General features: G+C 38.8%; 1 protein-coding gene across 21 annotated transcripts in view; it reads right to left on the reverse strand.

Annotated features, from left to right (window-relative positions):
• ATP11C (ATPase phospholipid transporting 11C (ATP11C blood group)) overlaps positions 1 to 24,900 on the reverse strand; it is a 210,556-nt gene that overhangs the window by 97,790 nt on the left and 87,866 nt on the right. For 17 of the 21 annotated variants that reach the window (XM_047442018.1, XM_047442024.1, NM_001353810.2 and 14 more), the window contains one exon: positions 2,567 to 2,686. In XM_047442018.1, the coding sequence (XP_047297974.1) occupies positions 2,567 to 2,686 (120 nt within the window). Of the gene's footprint in view, positions 1 to 2,566; positions 2,687 to 8,016; positions 8,105 to 24,900 lie in introns of those variants that run through there. The other 4 variants (XM_047442027.1, NM_001010986.3, NM_173694.5 and 1 more) reach the window with 1 other exon arrangement.

Raw genomic sequence — 24,900 nt, forward strand, 5'->3', positions numbered from 1 at the left:
AAAAATTAATTAATTTTTTAAAAAAAACCTTTAAAATTTTTAAAGGAAAAAAACACACAACAGATAAACATGATGGAAACTAAAGATCCTAAAATTCATAGCAGAGTACAATCAATGCTCCTTTTGCTAAAGAAGGGAATTTCCAAGTTTTGCACCAGCTACAAAATTCTGGTGATTTCCAAAATCCCTGCAGAGTACATTAAAGTTTGTGAGGCTGTAGAGGCCAAATTTTTCTAAAGAAAGTATTTGTGTTCCCAGGAGATAAAAAAACAAAAAGCATTAGGCCGGGTGCAGTGGTTCACGCCTGTAATCCCAGCACTTTGGAAGGCCAAGGCAGGCGGATCACGAGACCATCCTGGCTAACCCAGTGAAACCCCATCTCTACTAAAAATACAAAAAATTAGCCGGGCGTGGTGGTGGGCGCCTGTAGTCCCAGCTACTTGGGAGGCTGAGGCAGGAGAATGGCGTGAACCCAGGAGGCGGGGCTTGCAGTGAGCCAAGATCGCGCCACTGAACTCCAGCCTGGACGACAGAGCGAGACTCTGTCTCCCCCCCACAAAAAAAGCATTACTTTTATAAGCAAATAAAACTTAAAGTAGGTCAAAATGTTTGTCTTCAGTGTTCCCTGCCTTAACATTTATAATGTCACATTACTGGTGGTATTTGTAAACAAAAGCGGCATCCAATTAAGATAGTTATTTTTATGACTGAAGGGTGGAGAAAGAAAATCAACACTTGCTACAAAGTTGGAAGGCAGCTAACATATTCTATAAACAGTATATTTTGAAAAAATAATCCTTTAAAAAATTCTGGTATAAATACAAACAGCCAAGACAATGTGAGGAAGAAAAAGTCAAATTATGAAATTGTTGGTCTTTTCGGAGTAGACCTGAAGGCCTCCATTTAGGAGACAGTATCCCACACATTCAAAACACATGAACTTGAGGAAATCAATAGTACTACTCACTATTGTAATAATAATCACAGAAACACAAATAACAATAGCAGCTACCGTTTGAGTTGTCGCCCCATGCCAAGCACAATGCAAGAGGAGAGAAAAAAAATGAGGAAGGAACCCAAACAGCACGATGATGTAAAAAGACCTCTTTATTCAGAGCAACTAGACCTTATAAAGTAGTTCTACTCCTGGTTTTATTACTAACTCTGCTTGGTGACCATGTGCCTAAATTTCTCTGGCCTTAACCTCTTAAGACCATTTAGCTCTACAAGTCCACAATTCTGAATCAAAGGACTACTACAGACCATTTAATTGGATACCACAAGGTGAGCTGAAATTTCCAGTAAAAGAACTATTCACTATTTTAGGCATAAGTATGTCAACCTCTGGCTGAGAATAAAATTTCTGCCACTAGTGTGTAAGATTAAGAGGAAATAGACATTTTTATCCAAAATAAAATGTTCTATAGGCCTACATATCTGCTCATTAGGCAACAAAATTTTCACCTGTCCTGACCATATTTCACATGTTAATCTCCCAGCAAAACATGATCACTACTGTATCACCGCCCAAACAAGAAATTAAATGCATATTTGAAAACCAAAATGTCATATATTTTTAAGGAAGGGCATAATTTTGTGTTTCAGTTTCTAAGTGATTACAAGTGTACAGTGAACCAAATGTCACCAACTTTTATCTCTGCCTTGCCAGGGCACATGAGGAAGTGAGGAAAATCTTCAAGATCTATTCCATTCTATAAGAGATGGCAGTAGGCCAACCTAGCACCTAACCTGGTCAGCCAGAGGTAAAGACTAGCTAAATAACACTTGCAGAATGATGACTACTGAGTACTAGGAGCTATAAGAAGTGGTTTCACAGAGTATTAGCCCCATTTCACCAACGAGGACATTTAGAATCGGGGCGATTAATTTGACCAAGGTGACACAACTAGTAAGTGGTTGGGCCAGGATTTAAATACAGGTGTTCAAACTTCCAGGCCAATGCTCTTAGTCCTACACTATGCTGAAGAAAGATGCAGTCAAACGGTGACACAGCTGCAGTGACTTAACTCTTAACAGATCACAGCTGAAGCAGTGTACTGAGCAGCATGCACCCTTTGGGACGTAGGAGTCTATTAATACTTGAGAAGTGGGATGGGAGGTGGAGGGGTTGGCAGGGGAACTAGAAAGAAATGCAAATAAAGTCATTCCAGGACAGCATTCTCCAAAAGAATGCAAATTCTTTTATAAAAGAATTTGCATTCTTTTATATCCTAGTTCATCCATTCAAGGGTAATTCAGGAAGCTTTGCACAAGTAAGTAATTTGTATTTTTAGCAAACTTTACGGTTTAAAGTAATATGCATAATCAACAAGCACTGTGAATCATAACGGAAGGCAAGTGAATGATCTTTCACCTATAACAAGACAAAGTGATTTTTTAAATAAACTGTCTTTCAGAGGAATACTTATTATAGCTGGTATATGATCCATATACATGCAAATACATGTACACATACATAAATGCATCAGTTTCCTCAGAAGCACAAATTAGAATGCATTATCTGATTCACTATATGAACATCTATTGAGTTAAAACAAAAACTTACCTTAGATGAGACTATTCTATTATCACAAAATCTTTGTGCAATGTAAGCTTCTGTTTCCGAAACTGGATGATTGCCAACAAACACTGTGCGTGTGCCAACTCGTTTCTCTTCTCCAGCACACTGACCAAGAGAAAAGGGAAAAAATTCAGTTTTTCATCACATTTGTCCACACTTCTACCAAGCCCATAATTCTTGTCCAAGCATGCTGGGCCATAATCTGGCGAGAAAGTAGTAGGGAGAGGAGAAAACCTTGTTAGGGAATTCAAAATCCATTAAGCTCTTACTTGCTGACATAGTAAAGATTAGTAAAAGTGCTGTTTGAACCAACTGTTCTGAGGTCAACAGTGCAATTCTAAAATGATTAAAGAAAGTACCCTAGAGAAACAATATTTTTACTGCCAATCATTTTTCTTTCATCCACAGCCCAAATGAATCTTAACCATAACCTTCACTAGCAACACACTAACTCACGAAAGAATGGACTGGGAATATTTCATTTATTATGCAACTACTGAGGACAACCTTTCAACTACCTTACTAGAGAACAGAAAGCATAATGCAGATTACTTCTAAACACAAAATAATTGTGTATAAGTGTAAAGGTCAGAAATAGAATGGCTGCCTCTATTGAAGAAATGATCGACTTTTTCTAAAAAGAAACTAGTTATTTGGCTTTACAGGATAGTTTATTTTGCAATCTCTCAGAGCCTCATTGTTGTAAAGTTCCAATTCACACAATATATTTCTCATGCCCCTTTTACATTTTTAATAAGTAGACTCACCGAACCTAAAAGTTTCAAGATTGGGCTCTATTTTATCCCACCCTTTAATTTTGCTAAGGCCTCACTCTCTTCACTTTAATCAGGATAATACCCTTTTCTTATATAAATTTGGGACAGTCTCCTTGTATGGTACTATATTACCATATCTGAGACTACCACATATATAAGTCAAAGGATGCATGACAGAAACAAATACCCATTTATATATTCCCATTATTTTTTAGAACTATAATTCCCCAACCTAAAATGTTTTAATATATGTAGTCACAAAGATTTTCCTTCCTTTCAGTGATCTATTTAAAGGTCAAAGGTATAAATCCCACCCTCAAAGTAATCATTTTAAGCAAGACTACTTAGAACTTGTAGTCTTCCAATTATCTACAATGTCTGAAAGTACTCCAGTCTGAATTTGTGCATCTTATGTAGATGGTATGTGGAAAATTATTTCTTCGTTTAAAAATTAAAAATCACCCCCCAAGTACAGATAAAACCTCTTTGCCTTGCGTTTTCATTTAAGCTTATGATATTGCCTTCAAAATTTGTAGGGAATCATGCAAAAAGTAACTGGGACAAACTGAAGTAGAAGAGATTCAGGCTGTATATAACTCTGGAAAGCTACTCTGGCATGTGCTAAGAGAATTTGTGGGATCCCTGGAGACCTGGAAAAAGTCAGTTAAGTATCTATGCTGGATAGCTTAGTTATTTATCTGCCTGCCCAAAGACAAGGCATTAGAACAACTGATTGTCCAAGGTCCTTCGCATGCTAAGAGTAAATGATTCATAGATAAATTTTCACACAGTTCCTGGAAACCAGTAAACAGTACCTTTACCAAGTGGTAGCTTTGATTTAGGGGCTTACTTCTCTGTTTGCAACTGTAATATACAGGTTCTGACACAGCTTACTGATAAGAGCACCAAATTTTCCATAATATCCATTTTGTAAAACTTAAAAGTGAAAGTGTGTGCACCTGCCAGATGTATAGTTTATCTGGCTTCACCCCAGCTCCCACCTTCTGTTGCAGGTTAAGGCCTCTCTGTGGTCTCCACAACAGACCTGACTCTTATAATGTACCAATTTGAATTACAGAAAATGCCAAGTCCACGTATACATTGCAATTTGCAACCTTTAATTTAATATTCATATGGCTGTTTAGTTTTTCACACAAGGAAGAAGTGGCTGCAGAGTAAATGAGGCAGGGTTACCTTTTATACAAGTTCTTAGTTAATTCTACAAGTGGAAAGGGGGAAGAGGCAAAGGAGGTAGAGAATCAGTGAAGTAGGATATGTCATGTGCTGTCAATATAGATTTTTCCCCTCAATTACAGCAACCACTGATTAACTTAAAACAGAAATGGACTAGTGCTTTCCCAATTCTGAATTGTCTTCTACATTCCATGCCAAAGAACAAAAGGAAAAAGCACAATACAATTTTTTTAGGCACACTGATATTTTTATTAATTCCCTACATTTGAATGACATTTCCAGTTTCACTAAGAGCTTTCCTCATACACTATCTCTCTGATCTTTTCTGAATAAGGCCTAAGTGGCCTCTATCTCCATTAAATTGGAGAAAATGGATTGAAATTACTATGCAGGTTTGGGGTTTTGTGTGTGCACATCCCGGCAGTGATTGCTGTTAGATGATGAAACAGAAGCCTGAAAGAAGCAGCAGAATGTCCACTCCTGAGCATTTTCCAAAATAGCATTTTACAGTCTCTTTACCCTAAACAGGTTTGGGTTGAGACGTGCCTGAGACTGGGGGTGGGGTAGTATGAAGTAGGTGTCTTTTCCGTGCCTGTTTCACCCTAAAAGCTGATGAAACTGCAATGGCTGGTGGAATTTCCTGCAACTGTATAATAATATTTGGTTCACATAAAAAATAGCAATGCTGAACTCAAGTAAATTCAATGTAATTGCCCACCTGCTGCCAATATAGAGTGTTAAAAACAGTGGTGTTAGTTCCTGTGATTTTGAATAATGTAGGTGTCTTTGCCAAAGCAGAGAAACGCTAAGTAGAAATCATTTTTAAAATTCCCATTTGGATGGCACGCAGTGTAGTCTGGAGTGGGAGTGTGTGATTCCTGGCACCTCGTAATGAATTGTAATTCATTAGGAGTCCATCCTGTGCTGAACTGCTTCCCATTCAATTGTCCTTAAGAACAGCATTTCTTAAAACTGGAAATATGCTGGTACTGACTCTATTTTAATGACACATCACACTACATAATAAAGTATGGCAAATATTAAAAAATATGTTTACAATATATGAATTAACAGAGAAAGCAATGTAAATTTCTTTCTCAAGATAAAAATCAACCTTTTGTACTCCTAATTTATACCTCCATAGTATAAACTGAATGCTGTAAAAAAAAATAAAGCAAGTAATTTATACCCCAAAATGGCCTCTCAATAAAAAACCTAACACAGTAATTATTTAACTGGCACCATCTTAAAATCCTATGTCTTTGCTAGTCATAAAAAAATGAAAAGCCATTGGAAATAAAATTTGTTCCTTGGTTGCCTCCAGACCTGACTAGATAAGAACTGAAGAAAAACAGAGACCTCAATACAAGACTGTTACTATAAAAGCTGGCAAAAGGATCTGAAATAAAGCCTACCTCTATATCCTTTCCATTTGCTGGCAAACTTATATTTATGAGTTAGCCATAGATCTTTGACTCTTAATCCTGGTCACACAGTGGATTTAAACACAATACTGATGCCTGGTTCTTTTATTTAATATTTAATTTTTCTGGAAGCTCCCCAGGTGACAATTCTAATTTGCAAGCACAGCTAAGAATTACTGCCACAGACTCTTTCAAACAGTGATCGTCCTTAAATAACATCCTGCAAGTTTTTAGTATGCCAGCCATAATCTTGCACTATTTCTTTAAATAATTTAAACAATTTGCTTTCCAAAGGTTAAAAATACAAATAACCCTCAGTGTTCCGTCCAACCATTTTAAGCTGCTCGCAAAGTAAGATTCCCCTTCGACAATTTATTTTGCATGTGGTTATCTCCCATCAATTATTCAGATCACTGATAATGAGAATTACAGGCCCTGATATAATGCAAAGCTACTTGGATTATCAGCAAATAATCTTAAAACCGACGTAATCCCTGGCAGTTACAGCATTACTTTTATTGGTCATCGAACTGCTTTCTGTAAGCAACCACAGCAAATAAAAGTATTTGCTCAAAAATGAACAAAAAAATTTCTTATTAAAATCTGAAGACTTGGCAATGATTTAAAATGGTTCTCCACTCTCCAGCCCAAAGCTATTTTCTTCTCTGAAGCAGGAATATTTTTGAACAGCATAGTGTCTTAAAAAGGCCAAATTCAAAATTGAAAGAGCATTTCATCAAAATTTCAGATGTCTACTAAAATGCTCCCAGAAGTCAGCATTTCCATACTAGGGCTGAAGGGGTGGGGGTATGGGGAGGAGATCACTACAGTGCCAGGAAACATTTCCAGTGTATTAAGCTTCTTGGTTAAAATAACTACAATGTATTCGGTGGTCAAATTGCTGAGGTTTCCAAGCCCACTCCATTATAACAAGCAAAAATGAATAAACTTAATGTGTAATTTACAATCATAACTCTAAAATGATCCTTAAAATTGCACTTTTCAGATTTTGCTTTTACTGCAACTTCTGAAGTGATTAAGCTGTCTCTCCTTTTGCCAAAGGAAGTGAAGCAAGACTGATGGGGCATTTTGTGTTGTTCTGCCTTTAAAGCTTAATTACAGTCATATTAACTGAAATTCTCAAACACCTGACCAAAGGACAAATGAATACATAAAGTTTATCCCTAAACACAAAGATTTCTCTAATTAGGCATTACCCAATGGCTTCACATTTAATTGAAAAAAAAAAACTACTACAGGAAATGGATATTAAGCCTCACACAAACACCTAAATCAGCAAGCACAACACTTAAGAAAAAGACTGACCATGAGGATTTGGATAAGAACAATGCCTTGTTTGGAAGCTCAGAGTGGACCTTTCATTATCTCAAAGTGATCCACTGAGCAGTTTAATTTCACCAGGGACAATCAATTCTAAGTATTCCCAATCTGATCCCCCTTCCCCCACCATGCCCTTACTCCAAGAACTTCAGGGCTCAGAAATTGTGGCTCTAAAGACTGAAATGCAGCTTCATTAAAGGATTGCTAATAGAAAGTTGATGGATCAAAAATACTGTAAACATTCTGTGATTCAAGATTCTAACAGGAATTTTATCTTTTAATGATTCAGGTTCTTCCATTTATAGGAAGTAACCTGCGACTCTCAGTGTTCCTTTGGGGTCTCAGCAACTCAACTTCCCTTATTAACAGAATCTTTCCTAACCCAAAGCCTGACAATATGCACAGAAACTTAACCAGCAAGTATACAAAACCTCAGAAGTTCCCTTTCACTTTCACCCTACCCATCTCTACACACAGCCTTTCATTCCAAACACTTAACAAAATTTAAAACTCTAAATAAGGAGATTCTTAACTCTTAAAGATAGGAGCAGTGAGGCTGAAAATCCAGCTAACCATTTACGATTACCCTCAGGAAATGGATAAAAATATACATGCAAATAAAAAGCAGGAATAAAGCAGGCCCCAAGACCTCAAAACCCAACCTGGCTGAAAAGAGGAGAAATAAATATAGATTACAAACCTCAGAGGCTGGAGGGAGAGATGGGACCATCTGCATACTGACATGCAGAAATTTGGCAACACAATGGCAGCTAAATCTCAGAGAGAATGCTGCAGATTATCAAGCAACTTGTACCAACCCCTGTGATCCTTGTAAAGTTTCCCAGAACTTGGGAAGTGAGCCAATTATGGCTTGCCTAGTTCCTGTACTTCCATGGGAGGCAGCAAAGGAAGCATCAGATGACAGTCTATTCCTTAAGAGCTCAAAGCAGTACTCTGGCGGCCTTAGCCCCATTATTGCACCATTTCATATCTTTTTGTTATTCTTCTCCAAAGACCTGATTTGCCTTTGTAACTTCTGTATTTTAAGGTGTTATTATTTTAAATATCAGTATCTTACACCACACAGTAATTTTTCCTCATCTTGGGAAGTTCTTTTCTAATCCCTGCCTACAATAAATGGACCACAATAAAAAGTGGGGCTAAACAATAAGCTTCGGAGGAAAGTTGAATTGAACTTTTAGTTGTAGTTTAAGAGGAAGAGACATAATCTAAGTATTCACTATGATACAGTTTCTCCACCCTAAGAGTCACTGTAATACAGTAAATTCAAGCTTCAAAAATATATGCAACAAAGGCCTAAGCAGATGGTTTATGTGGAAAGGTCCCTTAGGGATGGAAGACTTTTCTCACTATTTAGATATCTCAGAGGTAAGAAAGTTATATCTCAGCAGCCAACAGTAATATCTAGCAATCGCAAGGAAAAAAGCCAGTGGATATTAGGGAGAAAAATGCCTTGACCAGCATCATTACCTAGAAGAGATAAATTCTCATCCAAAAATTACTTTCTAGATCACCACAGAAGAATTTTTATTACAGTTTAAGAAGAGATAAGAAACTCTAGCTGGAGCAAAAGAAAAAATATTGTAAAACTGGTGTCTGACGACCTGAACAGGGTTTTATTTCTTTTTTCAGTGATAGTGTCATTACTATAAAAGTGATGTTTCCTAGAAAGGTCTGCCAGTTCAAATACAAGTTGGAGTGTGTCCAGCAAAACCAATGAATGCATTTTTCCAAGTAAACTGTTAAATACCATACAAAAAGCAAACTGGCTTAAAAACTGCCCGAGCTGTAAATGTAATTAATTTAAAGAGCACATCCAGGCTATAACTTTTCTTAACATCCCCAACAAAAGAGGTAGATAAAAAGCAAGTTTCCATTGTGGAGCATGGCTTAGTTGAATAAATGAAGAAAGTAAAGGGTTTCGGGGCGGGGGGCGCATTCTTCCTGGACCTGGCACAGTGGCTTGGACCTGTAATCCCAATGCTTTGCTTGAGGCCCAGAGTTCCAGACCAGCCTGGTCAAACATAGTGAGACCCCTGTCTCTACGAAAAAAAAATTTTTTTTAATTAGCGGGGCATGCTGGCACACACCTGTAGTCCTACCTACTAGGGAACCTGAGGCAGGAGGACCACTTAAGCCCAGAAGTTCGAGGTTACAGTGAACTATGATCACCACTGCACTCCAGCTTGGGCAACAGAGTAAAGACCCCATCTCTTTAAAAAAAAACAAACATTCTTCCTACAGGGAAGGCTTTCAGGGCAAAATCTGGAGAGGACAGGGAAAGCAAGACAGTTATGACTCTGAGAAATATTATTTACATTTTTTTTTTCTTCAAAATGAGACCTGGAGAAAATGGCTTAGTTGAGCCTCATTTCCTTATCTATAAAATAAGGTCACATAACGTAAGAGACTGCTTACAGCAGGATTAACAGAAACACCCAGAAATCACTTTAAATGACTGTAAACTATTCGCAGGAACAAAGGATGAGGTTTGCAGATGTTAACAAACTATAGGAATATTGAAACTCTAGCAACTGGGCCAGCATGGAACTAGGCAACGTCCTCAACATAACCCACATGTAAATGTTTTATTTAAAGCAAGAAAGTTTCTGGCTCTACAGAAGAGGCACGGGAAATTTTGGTGCTACCCCTGCCTAAAGGGGCAGGATGAATTATGGTCCACTAGCAGAGAGTGCTTGGTTTTGAAAACACTGTTCTTCAGTGTTCATGAAGAGGACTAGAGTTAGCCAGGGAGCTTGACAAGTGCCATGTTTGATGACAACTGAGGGCCACTGGAGGAGCTTATGGAGGCTGCTGTCCAGAACATATACCGTTAGTATTTTGGAACTGTTGATCTGACATCCTGACAGTAAAAATAGGAATTCGTTTCTCCCTTTGTGGCAGAGTACACAGGCACTTGGGAACTGCACTGGAATTATTGACACTGTCTCTCCATCATCTCTTCCCTCTCCCCAAAGCTTTGGATTTGAAGCTTCTGTGCACTATAAAGACTGGATGCTGCTATAAATATAACTGATGATCTGATTGTAATTATTCCTAAAACATGCTTAAAAGAGACTATATAAATTAGCAAGACGTTTGAAATGTAATGTATAACTTGGATATTGAAGCATAAAAAGAAGAGCACGACAAATATTCAGTAATGCCTTACATATAAATAAAAATTGTTTAGATTGTTAAATTTTAATGTGCCTTTGAGTACTGCCAACTAGGAATGCCACAGTAAGATAAATGGCAAGAATATCAGGACACCACACTCAATGTTCCCCAGACTGAATTACATGGAACAAGTTAATAATGAGGTTCCTTAGAGAAAGGGGAAGCCCACCCCTCCTCCTGGTTATTCACAATGCATACCCATGTAGTAAAAGCTCCATAAAGTCTTGAAGAAACCTCTTTTAACTTTGTGTAAGTCAGCATTTCCCAAAATTTTTTGACCACAGAACTCTTTTCTTCCCACAAGGAAAATCCAGTGACATCACATTCTGTACAACATGTTTTGGGCAATGCTACTGTAATATACCTCTTATCTCAGCAAACATGTCTACATATCTGGGCTACATCTATGCTAGAGTCCACTGGTAGAAAAAACACATGGTATTCACAATCAGCTATACTGGCAAAGCACTCAAGGTTATGAGGTGAGATCAGTGTTGTATTTGTGACAATTTCTATCCATGTATGCCAAAAATTGATAAAATTAAGTATTTGGCTATGATCCCAGGTGGGTGTTTTTGCTTCTAAAGCTTAATAAAGAGAGGCAAGAAACCAGGAGATCAAGGTCCTAATAGCCTTCTACCATCAATCGGTCTGTATGTGTCTTGGGGAAGTCCTGGCATTGGTTTCTTCATATGTAACTTGGAGAGGACTTGACTAAATAATCTGATCTAAAATGAAGCAGGGGAAAGTGGGGCCAGATTTTCTTTGACACGGAGTTTCGCTCTTGTCACCCAGGCTGGACTGCAATGGTGTGATCTCGGCTCACTGCAACCTCCGCCTCCTGGGTTCAAGCAGTTCTCCTGCCTCAGCCTCCTGAATAGCTGGGATTACAGGCGCCCACTACCACACCCAGCTAATTTTTGTATTTTTAGTAAAGACGGGTTTTCGCCATGTTGGCCAGGCTGGTCTCGAACTCCTGACCTCAGGTGATCCACCCGCCTCGGCCTCCCAAAGTGCTGGGATTACAGCCGTGAGCCACCGCACCCAGCTAGTGGGGACGGACTTTCTAGCAATAAAACTTGAAATGTGGCCGGCCGAGTGTGGTGGCTCACACCTATAATCCTAGCACTTTGGGAAGCCGAGGTGGGTGGATCACTTGGTCAGGAGTTTGAGACTAGCCTGGCCAACATGGCAAAACTCCGTCTCTACTAAAAACACAAAAATTAGCCAGGCGTGGTGGTACACACCTGTAATTCCAACTACTTGGGAGGCTGAGGCAGGAGAATCACTTGAACCCGGGAGGCGGAGGTTGCAGTGAGCTGAGATCGCATCACTGCATTCCAGCCTGGGTGACAGAGCGAGACTCCATCTCAAAAAAAAAAAAAAAAAAAAAAAAAAAGCTTGAAAAGTGGCTTTGGATGTTGCATCACTTGCCACCTGTTTCAGCCTAGTCCCCTAAAACAAAAAAAAAGCATTCAAGGGTGAGGAAGAAATTACTCCCTGTTTCAGGATAAAGAGTAACTTACAAACTAATACACACGAGAAGACAATATATGTGGAATAAAAAATTGCAGGTTTGGGCCGGGCACGGTGGCTCATGCCTGTAATCTCAGCACTTTGGGAGGCCGAGGTGGGCAGATCACCTGAGGTCAGGAGTTCGAGACCAGATTGGCCAACATGGCAAAACCTGCCTCTACTAAAAATACAAAAATTAGCCAGGAGTGGTCACAGGTGCCTGTAATCCCAGCTACTCAGGAGGATGAGGCAGGAGAATCGCTTGAGCCTGGGAGCCGGAGGTTGCAGTGAGCCGAGATCGCACCATTGCACTCCAGCCTGGGTGACAGAACGAGACTCTCTCCAAAACAAAAACAAACAAAAACAATTTCAGGCTTCAAAGCAGAAAAGGAGGGAAAAATAAATAAAACCTCATGAAAAGTCACAAAGTCCAGGGAAAGGTTCATGTGCTAATGCCTTTAAAAAAAATGTTTAAGTACAAACTGACTAGATAAAACTCCTTCAAGGTGCTAATTTTGGTACACTAGAGGGTACATTGGTTCTTTCAGGCTTTTAAGATGCCCACTTAAAGCACCACAGTAGCAATTTACTTAATGGTAATCTTTAAATGTGAAAAAATGAATGCCTTCTCAAATGTGCCTATTACCCTAGGGAAATTGTTTACTCCTCTGATAAAACAGAATGAAATCCATTTCCCAGCAACCAAGGTACAAACAACTGCAAGTAAATCAGGTTAGAATTAACTACCATGAGGGCAATTTTTAAAATTAATAAACCTCTTAGAATACAAATCTTACCTATACACAGGATTTCTGCTGTAAAATGAAAACACACACACACATACACACACACACACACAGGGACAGGGAGGAGAGATAAAGCCATTTGAAATAATTTTTATTAGAGTGGATACATTCAAAACGCATGACTTCACAAAAACACCACTCACACTAAAGGCCAAACCACCCTCAAACCAAACAATTTTCCACAAAACAAATGTTTTTTACCAAATAAGACAAACAGTAGTTAGAAGTTCTATTCAAGTGTATGACTGAAAATAGCAATGGGGTATTTCTAAAGCACACATAGGGGGTATCTAGAACCATTATAAGAATTTACAGCCAACATTAAAAAATGCCTAGGAAGCTTTAAACAGAAAATAATACTTTCAGCTAAATCATGAAACAACACAGTAGTTGTAGGTTTCTTCATTAGGAAACCTTTGCTCAGTGGAATGCAAGCAGCTTAGTTATGACTAGTACTCAAAAATTAAAAGTTCATAAAGACTCAATTCTCCTGACTGCAATGCATTTCACTCCAGTTTGCATTATTATAAAAAGCACATGTGTATGCAACATGTTAATACAATTCTAAGTCTATTCTTACTCTACTTTGTAAACTCGGATATGATGTAAAATGTTCTACATGCTGTCAAATAGAAAATAGTTATAGCATTACTTAAGGGAAGAAAAATGGCAGAACCCAATGAAATATAGGCAGTCCTCAAAGAATGGAATTAAAGTGCATTTGCATTGGTAGCATTATTAATGAGGACTGATAGACCTCAAATTAATGGTGGACTGATAGTCTGATTACTTCAGATGGACAGGAATCTGAATGATCTTTATATAGTCAGTGTACTTGAGTATTCTACAATGTTCTGCTGACATCTCAGCTTGGTTCCCAGTCATTTACTATAAGCAAATACAACTATTCCCTGCATGCTGAGCACAGCTAAACTAAAACAAAACAAAAACAAAAAGGAGAAGGGTAGAAATACAAATGTGTCAAACCAATAGAAAATTGCCTATGATGAGAACGTTCAGCTATAAGACTACATGGGGCTTCCTCATAATTCTCAATGCAACTCTCAAAAGACACCTCCAATAGAAGAGTTGTTAAATGATTTAACCAATACATATGTTCAGAAGGAAGAAACTTCTTTGGATGTGAGATTAGTCCTTTAGACTGCTTCTTCAATCCTAAAAATAGTATATAAGAGAAAAACTGGGGTTCTCCTAATAGTTGCAGGTCTATCTCAGAAAGCAATGTACCAGAATGCTGTTGGACTCAAATTTTATGAATTTAGAATCCAATTCTGTCCAATATACCTTTGAGTTTTACTTCTATTTTCATACTGTGAAATAACCATGTAATAAAGTACCAAGGAATGAAATATTCACTGCAAATAAGGGGAAGTTCATTCATGCATTCCAGATGGCGTGAATGAACAGCCTGTAAGAAAAAAAAAAAGAAAATAACAAGTGTTGACAAGGATGTGGAGTAATTGGAACCCTCATACATTGCTGGTGGGACTGTAAAATGATTCAGCTCCTATGAGAAACAGTTTGGCAGTTCATTAAAAAGTTAAACATAGAATTACCATATGACCCCACAATTCCACTCCTAAGCATAGGCCCAAAAGAATTGAAAACAGGTATCAGAACAAAAACTTGTGCATGCATGATCATAGCAGAACTATTCAAAAGGTGGAAACAGTCTGGTGCAGTGGCTCATGCCTGTAATCACGGTACTTTGGGAGGCCAAGGTGGGCGGATCACCTGAGGTCAGTAGTTCGAGCCAGCATGGCCAACATGGTGAAACCCTGTCTCTACTAAAAATACAAAAATTATCCAGGCGTGGTGGCAGATGCCTGTAATCCCAGCTACTTGGGAGGCTGAGGCAGGAAAATCGCTTGAACCCAGGAGGCAGAGATTACATTGAGCTGAGATCACACCACTGCACTCCAGCCAGGGCAACAGAGCAAGATTCTGTCTCAAAAAAAAAAAAGGTGGAAACAACCCAAATGTCCATAACTGATGAATGGATAAACACAATGTGGTATATCCATACAATGAAATATTATTCAGCCATAAAAATGAATGAAGCATTGATATGTTCCACAATGTGAATGAATCTCAAAAACATTATGCCAAGTGAAAGAAGCCAGACACAAAAGGTCACATAATGCATAATTCCATCATATGAAATATGCAGAATAGGTTAATCCATAAAAACAGAAAGCAGATTGGTAGTTACCAGGTGCTAGGGGGAGGGGAGAATGCAGAGTAACTGTTTAATAAGTATGGAGTTTCCTTTTAAGGAGATAAAAATGTTCCGGAACTAGGTACGAGTTTGTGGTTATAAAAAATATAAATGTACTAAATTCCAATAGATTGTTCACTTTACAATGGTTAGTTTTATGTTATGTGAATTTCACCTCAATAAAAAAGTAACTCCCTTGCCTAATAGTGGGTCACAAGGTAAATCCGTTAACACAGTTGATGCATCCATTCAACCAATATTTATTGAGCTCCTACTATGTGTACAGCACTAGAGACAGGGTGATGAGTAAAAAAGACATAGTCCTTGCCTTCAAGGAGCTTAGAGTATAGGGAGAGGGGAGACCGGGCATTCATCAAATGCTCATACAACTCAGCTAAGTGCCAAGAATGATGGCTGCACAGTACCCTGAGGGCTAACCTAGCTAGGACCACACAACAACCATGTGCAACACAAACCTAACCATATTGCTCCTCCAGGCCCCACTTGAATCGTTTCCCATTGATCTTAGAACTGAAAATTAAAATCCTTATTCTGACCTGCAAAGTTTTATACACAGTCTGGTCTCTTCCTCCTATTTCCTCAACTTCATTTGCCCTCCTCTTCTCTTTCTCTATTATAACCCATTGGCCTTTTTTCCATTCCAGGTAAGCCGGAGGACCCTTCTTGTCCCTGAGTATTCCACTGTTTCCCTCGGCATAGAATACTCTTCCCTCTTTACCTGCTGATAATAATCCTTCAGATCTCAACAACCATAATTTTATCATTAACCCTTCTCTGGTGACAATCAAAATGAAGACAGACCAACAATTTGTTCTCCAAAATCTATGTCTGCTACAGGGAATTTACAATGAGCAAAGCAAAGCATGAAGAAAATCTCAATTCAGTTTCTCAAAAAGCCGAAACACCAAGTCTCTTCAAAGTCTCCCCCAAAAGTCTCCTCAAGCATACCTATCAAAATTTACTAAAAGAAATCCTGTGAGAAGTCCTTGACTTTGCAGAAACTGCTTTAAGAAAAACCACCTTCTAATTAGTTTCAGTAAAAACAAGGCAGTGATTATGACAAAAACTTTGTATAGTCTACTACGACACTTTAGTTCATTAAACATAATTTAATGTGACTGGTTGTTGTGATGCCTTGTTAACTGATTTTAAACATACTTCAGACAATTTTCTCCTGAACAGTATTCAGATTCATCATTTCCAGCTGATTAAACAGTTGATTAAAATGATGGTTACAGCTATTTCTATTTTTATAAAAAGTCAGGCTTTAGGCCAGAGATATAATCCCCAATGTAATATTGTTTCTGTGAAGAAAATCAGATTCAATTTACATTATTTTGACTTACAGAAAATTTTCTGTGAACATATCCTGCCATAAAATACAAGGACAATTGTAAAAGGTTTTCAGAAGGGCCTATCATCTGGCACTAGTGTGTACCATGGAACAGAGGCTGGGCATAAGACAAACATTCAAATCAGCCAGTCATGAGCTGTTCTCTTTTTAAGTTTATCTCACTTAATAATCATAAACTGGGGCAGGGTATTTTTCACAGCATTGATTTCTCTGCAAGCAGAGCAGGGAGAAATATCACTAACCTATATAAAGTCTCATACAAAAAAAAAAGACTGAAGGGTGGGAAGGGGGTGAGGGATAAAAGACTACAAATTGGGTTCAGTGTATACTGCTCGGGTGATGGGTGCACCAAAATCTCACAAATCACACTAAAGAACTTACTCATGTAACCAAATACCACTTGTTCCCCAAAAATCTATGGAAATAAAAAAAATTTTTTTAAAGACTCTGCCAAAGCCGTCAAAGGACACTGGTGTGATATAACATTATCTTTGCACTTTTTACAAACTGAAAATTACATTTTAAAGAATAACATCTCAATGATTAACAGATATTATTTATTTATACAGATATTTGACATAACAATTAGTAATGAAGCCCACACAAAGTGCTCACTAATAAATGAGTAAATAACAGCATGTAATCAACGGCACTATTTGTTGGGTCATAGTCTCTACAACACTACTGGGCAATCAACTCTAAACCTAGATACTCTACTACAATTAGACAACAAGACTTGTTTCAGTAGTTTTCATCCACACACTTGAATTTTTATAAATACAAAATACTAGTTAATGAACTGTGTCTAAACCTTTCTAAGACCAAAGAATTGTTTCTACAAAGGGTGAGGTGGAGTAGAGAAGGAGAACTGCAGGTTGAAATGATTGGTGGTACAAGGGCTTGGAGAAGAAAGCTATTTGTTCAAATGAAACTCCAAATGAGAATATTAAAATTCAACATTCAAGAGCTGCAGAGAGGTAAGGAAAACTCTCCTTTCATTGATGTTCAAAAGACAAGAGAGAAAATTTTCTCCTATCAGCTTTTGCCATCCCCATGCTGAGACTACAGTGAATCTTGTGTAGAAGAACAACTAGAACACCTAAGTGGTATATTTCAATCACAAAAATTGCCACTTATGAAATTTTCTGGTACCTTGGGATGGAAAAGGCAATAAACAATAAAGTTTTTAAAACATTATACATACATACACATATATACACACTCCATCTTGCTCTGGAGCTCAGAAACAATGGAACCTAGTAAGGTGATTTTTTTAAGTGATTTCCCTAAGGAAAGTTATTTCTTCCTCGTTCCCCTAGCTATTTTCCTGGGACTAGGACCTTATCAGGTTATAACTCAAAGACAGGCCCATTGCTATCCAAGGCTCCACTTATCTTGCCTTGCATTGCCCTGCCCAGAATGCATGAGCAGGTTTTTTTGTTTTGTTTTGTTTTGCTTTTTTGAGACAGTCTCCTTCTGTCGCCCAGGCTGGAGTGCAGTGGTGCAATCTCGGCTCACTGCAAGCTCCGCCTTCCAGGCTCACGCCATTCTCCTGCCTCAGCCTCCCAAGTAGCTGGGACTACAGGCACCCGCCACCACACGCACCTAATTTGTTTGTATTTTTAGTAGAGGCAGGGTTTCACCGTGTTAGCCAGGATGGTCTCGATCTCCTGACCTCATGATCTGCCCACCTCAGCCTCCCAAAGTGAGCAGGTTTTAAATTCCATACATGCCCTCCAAGGGTACCAATCTTCCTCCTGCCATGTGCCATAGAGTAACTCTCCCCCTTTTCTTCCACTCTTTCACCTTTTGCCATTGTGAAAAGTATCAGCTGGGTAGTAGGTACAGGCTGAGGCGAAGCCCAATCACTTCTCTCCTTTTGCTTGCATTCTACCTCTCACTGACCTCTGAGCTAGGGCTGTATCAATTCCTGCAATAGGCAAGTTTACAATCTCATAGAGTTGACAGGAAACACAAGTAGGACATAAGTGAAGGAAGTATACAAGTATATTTGCAGCGCACTGCTAAGTAAATACAGAAGAAAGGAATAAGAGTTGCTGAAATGTAGAGGCTGACTGGGGCTGCGTAGAGTTTGTCTTAAATTTCCAAGAGATTAATGTGTCTGAGCGTTGGGTAATTTTGGCCTCTTGTGATCTAGAATACGATCAAATTAGTTTGAAAATCTTTGTATAATTCACACGTGCCAGGCTCCAAAGCTAGAGTCTGCATACAATGACAAGAGAATTTTATTTTCAGTTGTATACTGTGCTTGGTTTCAGAGCTACTCTAACAAACCTTACTTTCCCTTGCCATTCTAACTTCATTTTCCACTAGTAGTCTCCAGCAAGAATGCTCTGCTGTCATCAAATTCAACTCCCACCTCATTTTCTCGCCAAGTATCTCAGTTTATTCCCAACTGCTGTTCTCTTGGACTGGAATTGTCTGCATGACTCTCCTTGAAAGTAAACTGAAAGTTCAACTAATGCCAAATTCAGCAGCTTAATTAAGAGTCCCTGTAACATATGGAAGGCTGCAGATACATAAAATTGGCGAACCCTTACAAACTGGCTTCCCCTCAAGGTGATCAGCCAGTGATTCTTGAAGCTGTGTCTTATTCTCTTAGGATACAACAGGACTTCTTCTGCAGTAAGGATAAGTAACACCTAAGTGTCTGTTACGTGCAGATGAAGAATTCTATAGATGGACAGATGGAAAGATGGATGGATGGAAGAATTACAAACAGATATGGCTCACTCATTTGATTAAACAGGCCTAGCCCCAAAATCAGAGTATCATTTAGAGTCATTTGAGATCACCAAGGGTCATCAAGTTATGTATGACCAGAGATGAAAATATAGTATAAACAAGGTTGGAGCCTCAATGTTTAACTGTCTCATGAATATCTTCTGATGGGTATATTTTTGATGCTCAAAAATCAGAGGTACTCCAATATTTGCAATTTTAATGGCCTTTTTTCATAGAGCATGGCAATTACCAGGTTGTTTCAAAGAGCCTGTACAAGGGATGATGAAGAACAGAAGCATACTGGCTATGTGTATCAGTTCTACAGCCAGATATCTGGGTTCAAATATTGGTTCTGCCACTTATTAGTTATGTAACCTGGGGCAAGCTCCTTAACCATGTGATGTCTCAGTTTTCCCACCAGTCTCAAAGGGGGTGATTATGTTGATGACAACTTATAAAGCAATTATGAAACAGTGCCTTCATATTGTAAATACTGAAAAAAAATTGTTAGTTGTGTTATATAGCACAATGGAATAATAAATTCCTTTGCTGCCAATAACTAGTTGCTTCTGACAAAGAAAAAAAAAAAAAACTGATGTCCATGGAAAAAAATATAATTCTAATACAAATAGGTGAAATATATCTGCAGGGTTATTACACTTGAAACTCAGGGAGCACAAATGAAAGAAATTAACATTAACTTTGTTTAACTAAAAAACATATATACAGTCTTTGCGAAACAGAAACAGAGAGAAACCTTATAAAATCAAAATGACCATGAATAGTTTTGTAAATGAACTATGCCACGCTAACTAGATAACACTTCTTAATTAGCATATGAACAAAAGACAGAATAGTACATTGTGACTTCATTCAAGACTTCAATAAAACAAAATGCTTGCAAAAAGGAAAGAAAAATCAGCTTCAAAAGGTTCAGCAAAGGTTATGATAAATGACTCAGTTTAGGGTTGAATGCAAGGAGTAGCAGAGAGTGGAGGGCTCTGGGTAAGCACTAGACTGGAAGCAAAAATAAACAGCATGTGTAATCAAATTCACCCAACTGTGTCATACCACGTGGCCCTGCAATACCTGCAATGCAGGAAAGGCCTGGTGCCGAGTAAGAAGAAAGCACATATGCAGGGCAAGCAGTGGGAAGAAACCTTCCATACTGCCCTGGTAGCACCCTAACTAAAGAGGAGAAGATGGTCAGAGCAGCTAACAGCTCTGAACAAGAAGGGGGCCACAGATTTAGAATTGCAAATGGTTGGCCTCAGACATTCACCTTCTCCTATCATTCTTTCCAAATCAAATCAATAATCTGTGTGTGTGTAGGGGCCTGTGTATTTGTGAGATCCCCTAATCCAAAGGCCTATCCCATTTTATTGAAACAAATATTTAAAGAACATGGAATGAGCTAGACACAGTGATAAGCATAATCCCCATGCTAAATTAGGAAGCTTATCTTACCAGAAAGCCAACTCTATCTCAGTTCCCCCTCTCTGAGTCTGTTTTCCCATTCATAAAGTGTGGGAGTTGAATAAAAAGGTTCCTGTGGTTATCTAATATTGCACAGATTTACCAAAAATTTGTCAAGTTAGCACCCTGAAGATGGAATGTTCAAAACGATAAAATGAGCATAAGCAGGTATTTACTTAAAAGAATGACAGATGATTAAGTGGTTAAGGGGTTGTGAGCAACATTAGGTCCTGGTGGACACACTTGTTTGCCTCTCAGTTTCTCTAGTGCACCTCACCTCCCCAGGGGCTGGACCCAACATTTCCTCCCATCACCGATAAGCCTCAGGCCCAAGGGACCCTGTCTCTTTCTTTAGGGGGTTCATAGCCTCCAGTCAGCTCAAAACAGGCTTCCAGCTAGTGCCCTAGCACTAGCTTGCCTTACTAGAATGCCAGCTCCCTAAGCAGCAGTGGCTCTGTGTTTGATTTAGTGACCAGAGGGCAACGTGGAACAGAACTAAATTAGGAACCCCTACAGAGATTTGCTTTAAAAAACTAGAGAAACCACCACAAATGTTTCTGCTTTTTCATTAATGCATTTATTAACAATAAATGTTTAAAGCAATTTATTTTTATCAGGAGAAGTCAGGGATTTTTGAGAGAAAAGTAAAGGGGAATATATGTAGGGAGTGAAGCAGTGAGAGAAGTCTGAATATATAGTTCAATTATTCCAGTGAGTAGAGGAAATGGAGACCTTGATGTGCTTCATACTAAGTATAAACTACATTAATTAGAGCTTTTAAACATTGAACAATTAAGTTTACATCAATCAAGTTTATACATAAAATACTCTTAAAGGCAACAACACTTTAATTTTTACTGTATTCATCTTTATCAACTACTGTCTTTATTCATAATTCCCTCTATTTAAAGCCCAAAGCTTTCCCAAACTACTGTTCTTGGCAAAAGAACTCTCGCTAATTTTCTGCAATTCTCATTATCCATCATTCTTACAGCTAAAACCTTTAAATCTTTGGAATCACTTTTAAAACACGCTTATGCTTGCCAAATACTGTCCCATTCTTTTTAAATATGCTTGAATAGATTTGCTTTGGGAATAATTACGTTTAAGAAACTGCCAAAGCAACAGGGAAGTTGTACACCACTATAGAGATCGCTCAGATTGTTGTGTGGGGATCTCTGTCACATAAACTTCATTATGGATCTTCGGGTTTCACTATGATCATCCAAAAATAAGTCTGACTTATACGTTCATATTTAAAAGAAAAGTTGCAATAAAGGGCCATGCAATGCTTGACCTTGAGAAACAGTGCCTCTTGTATGAATCCAGGTAACCTCTGGCTATTAATCGGTATGTTATATAACAAACCGGAATAAGCTTTGCTAAGGAGCTTCAATTTTACTAATGTCCAGTTGTTTCCAACCTGGTGAACACTAGATTTCCTTCCTAAATTATTTTTACCCAAAAGAATTCTTAAACAGCTAAATTATAAGACTTTGTGGTATCAGTGGCTATAAATCTCAGTAAGGACCACCTCTGGACTTAATTTAGAGAAATGGAGTATATCTGATAACTAGGAATAAAGAGCTAATCAAAACTGGCTTTGTAAATGTTAAAGTAAGGTTGGGTTAGCAATTGTCCATAGCATTAAGTATGCAATCCATTGTGTAACTCCTAAGGTTTACTTTACTTTTGCTGCTATTTTTTCTTTTTTAAAATAAATTAATAGATTAATAAAAACACAACCACCCAGTTGCTATAGGGAAAGCAGGATTTGGGCTCTAATGGTGACCATAAAACACTATGAAGAAACGCTTTCGTTCACTCCTAGGAATACATTTAAAATTTAAAAGAAACATAATCATAGATCATAAGTAAGGATTTTGGCTACATTTCTAAAATAGCGTGTTCATTGTTATAGTTTGTATTTTGACTGAAACAGACTGATACTAGTTAGAATAAACATTAGGATTTGGAGTAGGAAGCCTATAATGTAGAACTTTAATCAGGTTCAGACCCAGGCAGTATCTGCAAAAGGAAACGGTTGGTGGAAGCGACTGACCAGTGACTCCTGTGGCACTCTGCACTGCTTACATGGCATTTACTGAAAATGCCTGTACAAAAAAAAAAAAAAATTGTGGGACTCAAAAGGCCAATTACATCTACCCATGACTCTCATCCAATTGCCTATCCTGATCTACTTACTGCTCTGGGCTTCCTTCTTCCACTCCACATACATGACCTAATTGTTTCCCTTCCCTCTCTCTCTCCCATTCATTAAACTAAGTCCTGGGCCAGGCGCAGTGGCTCACACCTGTAATCCCAACACTTTGGGAGGCCCAGACAAGCAGATTGCTTGAGCTCAGGAGTTCGAGACAAGCCTGGGCAACATAGTAAAACTTCTCTACAAATACAAAACAATTACCTGGGCATGGTGGCGTGCATGCCTGTAGTCCAAGCTACTCGGGAGATTGAGGCAGGAGGATCAGTTGACCCTGGGAGGCAGAGATTGCAGTGAGTCAAGATCACGCCACTGCACTCCAGCTTGGGCAACAGAGTGAGACCCTGTCTCATCAACAAACAAACAAACTAGCTATGTCCTATATGGCTGGGTGCAGGGGCTTACACCTATAATCCCAGCACTTTGGGAAGCCGAGGTGGGAGGACTCTGCTTGAGCCCAGGAGTTCGAGACCAGCCTGGGCAACACAGTGAGACCTCATCTCTACAAAAAAAATCAAAAAATTAGCTGGATGTGGTGGCTCACGCCTGTAATCCCAGTTATTCCAGAGGCTGAGGCAGGATGATCATCTGAGCCTAGGAGGTTGACGTTGCAGTGAGCTATGATTGTGCCACTGCATTCTAGATTGGAAATCAGAGCAAGAACCTATCTCAAAAAAAAAAAAAAAACTACGTCCTATAGAACCTGCCATCCTTGTTAATCAAACTCTCTATATCTTAACATCAGAAACCCTACCTTACAACCACCCACATTCCTTGAAACTTGGCTGTCTTCTTAAAATTCTTCCCCCTGTGAACCTCTTAACTATGTAACTCAGAGGGCAATAAGCAAGCTTCCTCTTGCCTCCCCCTTGCTTATAGAGTCTATTACTCCATACTCATGGCATCATTCCTTTAGTTTGATATCATCTGGAGATACCAGCTTTTACCCATCCTCATCATGGTCATCTATCCATCTCCTTGGACGTGTGCCTTCATTCATTTGGGTCACTGGTGGCCTCTCCATCTCATCTCCTGCCATCATCTGATGAAATCTGAACACACCATCTTATAGTTCTCAGACTTCTTATCTGTAGTGACCTTTACCATCCGTTGTCATCACTATCAAACACCGGTCTCTGGTCACTTATTGCCCATTGGCTGAAGAGTTTGAAATTTGGCTTTCAAACTTGTTCTCTATGCCAACACTTGCCATGGTACTTGAAAATTCTATCATCCACATGCAACACCCACCCCAATCCAGAAACCTAGATTGCTGAGTCCCAAAACTCCTTTGCTTTAAGGATCTTCACCTCCACTCTTTTTTACCTACCTCTTCTATAGTGAGAGAGTAGGATCTGTTATCACATATTACTTCATCCCTGACACATAATAGCCCTCTCTCATTTTTCAGCTCCATAACTTCTACTACATAGCTCTTTAAGACCTCTACTCTCTTTTTTGTTTTTTTTTTTTAAGAGACAGGGGTCTCACTATGTTGCCCAGGTTGGAGTGCAGTGGCTATTCACAGGCATAATCATGTGCAATGCAGCCTTGAACACCTGGGCTCAAGTGATCTTCCCATTTCAGCCTCCTGAGTAGCTGGGCCTACAGGCATGTAGCACTGCACTCAGCTAAAGACCACTACTCTTTTGACTCTACCCTCAGTTTCTCAAAGCCCTTACCAGTCCTCATCTACACTTTCCCTCTGATCTCTGAACACCATATTGATTCATGGAACCTATTCTCTCACTAGCCCTCTCAATTCCTTCCCAACCTGGCTTTTTGCCATAAATGACTTACCTACAAAGCTCTAAATCCAGGACCAATCTCGCAAACTGCTTTCTTCATTCCTGCATGTAGGAGGCTGAGAACAGTTTTGGTAAAACCACACTGATAAAAAATTAATGTCATTACAAATTCTTCAGTGCTACTCCACAAACCTCCACTTGTCTTCCTTCATCTGACTCTCCACTTACCCTAAATGCTCATTTCAAAGCTTCATGACT

The sequence above is a fragment of the Homo sapiens genome, chromosome X, assembly GCF_000001405.40.
Source record: "Homo sapiens chromosome X, GRCh38.p14 Primary Assembly".
NCBI lineage: Eukaryota > Metazoa > Chordata > Mammalia > Primates > Hominidae > Homo > Homo sapiens.